Genomic DNA, 5,356 nt, shown 5'->3' with positions numbered 1-5,356 from the left:
CAGCGTTCACACCGCCTACAGGTGGGAGGTGGGGGCGTGTATGGGGACAGGAGAAGATGTGTAGGAGCCTTAAGGTCTGTAGTGTGACAGTCACACTGACCCCTGGCTCCCATCGCCTCTACAAGGAAAAAGGCAGAGCCACTAAAGGGCCAAGCTTTATTGTTCTTTAGTTCTGTCCCCCTCCTGCTGCCCCAGGAGTAGGGCTGGCTGAGGCTCTGGGCCCAGATCCTGGGCCTCCCTTGCCCTTCCTAGCACATGCTGGAGCTCAGCCTGGGCCCTATATAAGCCATTGACCTCCTGTACGTGGAAGAGGTAGAATGCACCTGCCCACAGCACCAGCCCTACACTGGGGGTCCAGAGCAGTATGGCAGCTTCCCCGGCCCCTCCTCCAGCCGCCAGGACACACAGCAGTGCCAGGAGAAGCAGCCCCAGGCCAATCACATAGCTAGCGAAGGTGGCCCACCAGCGAGCCTGAGCCATGCCCAGACCCAGCTCCGTCCAGGCCTCCTTTAGCACACACATCAACGGCGACCTCTCTGCTGGTCCTACAACAGAGCAGGGCAGTGGGGCAGGAGAGAGTCAAGAGTGGAAGGGCTGCTTCAAGCGGGGCAAGGGCCAAGGAAAGGGTGGGGGTGACTCACCGTGGGTAGAGCTGGGGTTCTGCTGTGGGGGGCTGTGCCTCACAAACAGAGTAGCCATCAGGGCTTCATGATCAGAGAGGGGGGTGCCCCTGTGAGGGTCAAAGCCTGTAGTGGTTTCAAAACTCTTACAGGAGATGTAAAACCCAGAAACTGCCTAGGAAAAGTAAGGGCCAGAGAGAAGCTTATATATGAGGGCCTCTTCCCAGAGAACCAGCTCCCGGCTACCCCACTTTCCACCCATCAGTGGTCCAAGACTAGACTAGCTGAGCAAAGGATCTACACAGGTTAGTAGACAAAGAGACACAGCATATGAAAGCATGTTGAAGGGAGGAGCCTGACCTTGTAAAGCACGTAGTCAATGCGGACACCAAAGGGAAATGGCTTCAGCTCCTGCTGGCTGACGTAGCAGTTCTTGGGTACCATTGTGTTGCCTTCCTCAGAGCCCTAAGGGAATCATTGGCTCATGCTAGGATGTGGGGGAGAAGGAGGGAGAGAAGCTGGGGATATAGGTGGGGAAGTAACAGGCAAGTCCTCACCTTGAAGTCCCGAGTTTCAAGATAGGCATCATGAAGCCCTGTCCACTCCTTCAGCAGGCAGCAGCCCAGGTCTTCTGGGTGCATGTTGAGGTCTCCACACAACAGAACCACGTCTGCCTTCTTGGATGTGTGGCTGGGGGAACCAGGTTGGTGAGGCGGGAGTTCTTCCATCACCAGCTCTTCCCCATGACTGGGGCCTTGTTCACCCTCAGCCCCTGGGTCCCATCCCACTTCCCATTTCAAGCCCAGGCTCACACACTGGATGAACTGGGCCAATTCCCAAGCTTGGGCCACACGATGTGCTAGGTAGATGTCCTTCTGTCGATTGTATTCGGCATGGAGCTGAGCAAGATAGATGAGATCACAGCAGATAAGACTGAGGGTCCCAGGGGTATGTCTGAATCAAGCCTGTGTCTGTCACTTGGCATGGTGTTTGGTATACAATGGATAAGCCTTGCCCATTGCTTCCTTATAAGATCTTGCCCCCACACCTCATCCCCAGGTATGAGAGCTAGAGAAGTACCATCTCTCTGTCCCAGGACTGGGCTGCATGTCCCAGCCCTAGGCACTGCCAGCTTCACTCACATGGGTCACATAGGCGTTGAGCACCATGCCACTTAGATGGAGCACCAGCAGCCCCACAGCCTTCCCACTGAACCAGTCACCATGATGGATCTGCAGGCAGGAGGAGATAGAAACTCAGGGCACCGCCACCATCTTTCTGCCCATCCCCTGCAGCTCTCAGAGGGCTGCCTCCTCTACCTTGTATTACTGGAGGTGGGGAAGGGAGGTGGAAGAGGTCAAAGGTCTGCCTTACCATGTAGGGGTAGCCATTGAGAGTGTAGATGTGCTGGGTAAGCTCCTGGATTGGATGTTTGGAGAAGACACAGAGGCCACTGCCAATGATTCCGCTGAAAGCCAAGCCCTGCTTAATAACCAGAAAAACAGGGAGAGACACCCAGCCTTCTTCCCCTCCCTTGTCTTCCAGCTCTGATCAGCTATTTTTTTCTTTTTCTACTGCTGGGACTAGCCCTAGAACCAAGGCGACAGCCTTTGGAGGAGTATAGGGCAGCCAGAAAACAAAGCTGAAATGGGCTGAAGTCATAGGACCTTCTTGGTTCACCCTTCTCCTTCTCTCACATCCAGAGGGAGAGGAGGCTGGAGGAGACTGGAGAGTGCAGGCAGGATAGGGAAGGGCTGGCAGGGCCAAGAGCCTCCTGGGATGACAACAGGCTTCAGGCCAGTGGGCTTCTCACCTCCGGAAGTGGTGTGCAGCTGGGTAGGTAGGTGACAGCTTCTGTCTCAGGTACTGGAAGTCCTGCTCACTCCACACCTGAGGGAAGCGGTGAGGATGCCTGCTTGGTCTTTCCCCAGTGGGACGGTCTGTCCCTCCTCCCAGCCTGGGTTCCGCACCGTGCTGCACAATCTCACCTCCTCCAGCAAAGCCAGGTCGAAGCTCTCCTGGTTCAGAAAGTCTCCCAGGCGCCTCATGCGGTCGGCCCGGTGCTTGCTCAAGTACGGAATGCCCCTAAGGAAGGGAAGAGCGGGGCAGGGGAGGCGACTGCTGGGACCACCGGCGCTGGGGCCAGATGTGGACTTTGGAGGTTCGGGTTTTCCCTACACCCTGAGATCGTGGGGCGGGATAGGGGGAGGAAGGCTGCATGGGTGCGAACGGAAGGTGGCCCCCAGACCGCACTCCGCAGACGCACTCACCAGCAGTTGAGGTTGAAGATCCGCAGTCGCAGGGAGAAGTTGGGCTTCATGGTTGGGGAGCTCCAGGGGCGCTAGGCGGCTCGAACTCTCCAGCGACGGCCGCGGTGGGGACGGGGGCGGCCGGCGGCGCCTTCTCCCCAGACCGTTCCTTCTTCGCAGGCGGCGCGCACAGGTGGGCACCAAGCCCGCGTGGCTCAGGTCGGGCCCGACTCCCGCGTTCCCCCGGCAACCGGCCGGCTGTTCCCAATCAGGCGGGCCGCCAACCCGGAAAGGCGATCCGCTGCCGAAATCCGGGCGCCCAGGCTCGGTAAGGGCCGCGCGCTAGGACCCTGGGGGTCCGGAGAGCGCCCCCGGGTGGGCGGCTCCCGGTTCCTTTTCCTCCAAGCTCGTCCCCGGCGGTCGCGGCCGCCCGCGCGCCGGCGGCCCAGCAACAGGCGCAAAGTTGAGGAAAGGCCCAGCCGCCACGGGCCGCCCTCGACCCGCCCCTGGGCCCCGCCTCCTGCGAGCGGCGGAGGCGGGGCCGCGCGGTTGCCGGAGCGACGCGCAGTGTTTGGGGTCACCGGGCGTCCCCGGGCGCGGCCATGGCAAGGCCGCAGCCGTGCGGGCCCCCGCACGCTAGGTGCGGCTCGCCGTCGCTGCCGGAGCGGCCGCTGCAGGTGAAGGTGGTGGGGCTCTTCAGCTGCCCCAACTTTCAGATTGCGAAGAGCGCCGCTGAGGTAACCACAGAGAAACCTCCGTCGTGGGCGGCCCTCCCCGCTACCCGCTCTCGGCCGCGTGGACTGCAGGCGCCGCGCCTCCTCGAGGCGGCGGGGGTCGAGGCCCCACCGGCCGAGGAAGGGGCTGGCGTGTCCTGGCCGGGCGGGCTCCGTCTGGAGGACCGGGAGGAGAGTATAGGGGGGCAAGTGCGGGTCCGGGGGCGGGCGTTCCACTTGGCGACTTTTAAAGGGAGAACTGAGCGAAGGAAGGGTTCAGAACCGCGCTGGGAGATAAGGTAATCCCCTCCGAGACACACACACACACACCCGCAGATTTTGTTCTACGTCAATTTTTTCTTTAATTAGAGATATTTAAATTTATGGAAAAATGATTACTATATAACTAGCTAATTTTTACAACCCCGCCACCTCGGCCCAAGCGATTTTTGTTAACTATTCATGCGGGGAGATTCTTTTCTTTGAATTTTATAGAGCCGTCACTGCGTTCCAATCGAACTAGATGCTTCACAAGTGCTTTGGAAAATCATTTCTTTGTAAACACTCAGAACGATACTAAAGGAAAAGCACTTGAGGAAACTGGAAGAATTTGGCCAGATCAGTCATGCTGCAGCACACTTACAACCTGAAATGCAGGAGAAATGTATGAAATGTCGGCATGTAGAATTCAGCCCTTCTTACAGGGTTTGCTCCAGAAATGCTGTCCATGGCAAACTTCTCGCCGAAGCTCACTTGACTCCAGGACCATGCCTTAATTAATGTTTTTAACTCCCGAAGTACCCAGCTGGATACTTGACAACAAAATGTTCCCAAATAGAAGATATCTTGGCGCGGTGACTCACGCCTATAATCTCAGCACTTTGGGAGGCAGAGGCGGAGTTCTAGACCAGCCTGGCCAACATGGTGAAACCCCGTTTCTACTAAAAATACAAAAAATTAGCCGGGCGTGGTGGCGGTCTCTGTAATCCCAGCTACTCAGGAGGCTGAGGCACAAGAATCGCTTGAACCCGGGAGGCGGAGTTTGCAGAGAGCTGAGATCGCGCCATTGCCCTCCAGCCTGGGCGACAGAGCCAGACCCCGTCTCAAAATAAATAAATAATAAAAAGAAAACAAGTGATCAGAAGTCTGTGAAAATAATACATGAATCATCAAAAGTAGAAATTGTGGTCTGTGTTGCTTGGGCAGACGGGATCAGCAACCTTTTATTACCAAAGTTAATGGCCATGAAGTTAATTACAAAGTTAATGTATTAATGAGTTTCAGAGATTTTTTTTCTCTTTTTTTTCGCTCTTTTTCTGAAGGCACATATTTTCTGTGCCGACTCCACATTGTAAAGAAAGTGTTGACAAGTTTTTTTCTGTAAAGTCCAGATAGTAAATATGTTAGGCCTTCTTGGCAATAGGGTCTCAGTCACACCTGTTTAGCTTTTTCCTGTGTTGCAAAAGCAGACACAGAGATGGAAATGAATGACAGTATTCCAGTAAAACCATATTATGGACACGAAATTTGACTTGCGTATAATTTTCACATAACGTGAAATACAATTCTTTTGATTTTTTAGAATTGTTTACAGGCCGAGCGCGGTGGCTCTTGCCTATAATCCCAGCACTTTGGGAGGCTGAGGCGGGCAGATCACGAAATCGGGAGTTCAAGACCAGCCTGGCCAACATGGTGAAACCCCATCTCTACTAAAAATACAAAAATTATCCAGGCATGGTGGCGGGCGCCTGTAATCCCAGCTACTCGGGAAGCT

The 5,356-nt window shown here is 55.7% G+C and overlaps 2 protein-coding genes across 15 annotated transcripts in view, besides 4 other annotated features; one reads left to right on the top strand and one right to left on the bottom strand.

Annotated features, from left to right (window-relative positions):
- Positions 143-3,338, bottom strand: SMPD2 (sphingomyelin phosphodiesterase 2). Of its 3 annotated transcripts, none has more exons than XR_942566.3 (10): positions 2,891-3,338; positions 2,609-2,705; positions 2,434-2,510; positions 1,995-2,088; positions 1,763-1,852; positions 1,437-1,519; positions 1,178-1,310; positions 981-1,085; positions 642-730; positions 143-545 (listed from the first exon to the last, which is right to left on the bottom strand). XR_942566.3 is itself a non-coding variant. In NM_003080.3 (10 exons), the coding sequence occupies exons 1-10, from the start codon at positions 2,938-2,940 to the stop codon at positions 157-159; spliced, it is 1,272 nt and encodes a 423-aa protein (NP_003071.2). In that variant the 5' UTR covers positions 2,941-3,338; the 3' UTR covers positions 143-156. The 3 variants fall into 3 exon arrangements, 2 of the variants coding, with proteins under 2 accessions (NP_003071.2, XP_011534381.1); NM_003080.3 differs by having other exon boundaries at positions 642-795; XM_011536079.2 differs by lacking the exons at positions 2,609-2,705; positions 2,891-3,338 and having other exon boundaries at positions 642-795; positions 1,995-2,102.
- Positions 2,454-2,533: an enhancer, noted in NCBI's record as "active region_24925". NCBI's record gives its function as "activates an Ori minimal core promoter by ATAC-STARR-seq in GM12878 lymphoblastoid cells {active_cell/tissue: GM12878}" and the evidence as "EXISTENCE:reporter gene assay evidence [ECO:0000049][PMID:35858748]".
- Positions 2,694-2,763: an enhancer, noted in NCBI's record as "active region_24924". NCBI's record gives its function as "activates an Ori minimal core promoter by ATAC-STARR-seq in GM12878 lymphoblastoid cells {active_cell/tissue: GM12878}" and the evidence as "EXISTENCE:reporter gene assay evidence [ECO:0000049][PMID:35858748]".
- The window catches only part of PPIL6 (peptidylprolyl isomerase like 6), a 50,957-nt gene continuing 48,491 nt past the window's right edge, over positions 2,891-5,356 (top strand). For 11 of the 12 annotated variants that reach the window (NR_104429.1, NM_001286361.1, NM_001286360.1 and 8 more), the window contains exon 1: positions 2,891-3,606. Coding sequence is in view for 11 of the 12 variants with exons in the window: in NM_001286361.1 (NP_001273290.1) it covers positions 3,472-3,606 (135 nt within the window). In the remaining variant the exon portion in view is untranslated. The remainder of the gene's footprint in view (positions 3,607-5,356) is intronic. The other variant, NM_173672.5, reaches the window with a different exon arrangement.
- Positions 3,024-3,843: a silencer, noted in NCBI's record as "silent region_17459". NCBI's record gives its function as "represses an Ori minimal core promoter by ATAC-STARR-seq in GM12878 lymphoblastoid cells {active_cell/tissue: GM12878}" and the evidence as "EXISTENCE:reporter gene assay evidence [ECO:0000049][PMID:35858748]".
- Positions 3,177-3,382: a silencer, noted in NCBI's record as "fragment chr6:109761883-109762088 (GRCh37/hg19 assembly coordinates)". NCBI's record gives its function as "represses an EF-1alpha promoter that drives an FKBP-Casp9 reporter gene in an ReSE screen in K562 erythroleukemia cells {active_cell/tissue: K562}" and the evidence as "EXISTENCE:reporter gene assay evidence [ECO:0000049][PMID:32094911]".

This window comes from Homo sapiens, chromosome 6 (genome assembly GCF_000001405.40).
Source record: "Homo sapiens chromosome 6, GRCh38.p14 Primary Assembly".
NCBI classification, from domain to species: Eukaryota; Metazoa; Chordata; class Mammalia; order Primates; family Hominidae; genus Homo; species Homo sapiens.
Note: the sequence above shows the minus strand (reverse complement) of the source record. Positions and strands in the feature narration are given on the sequence as shown.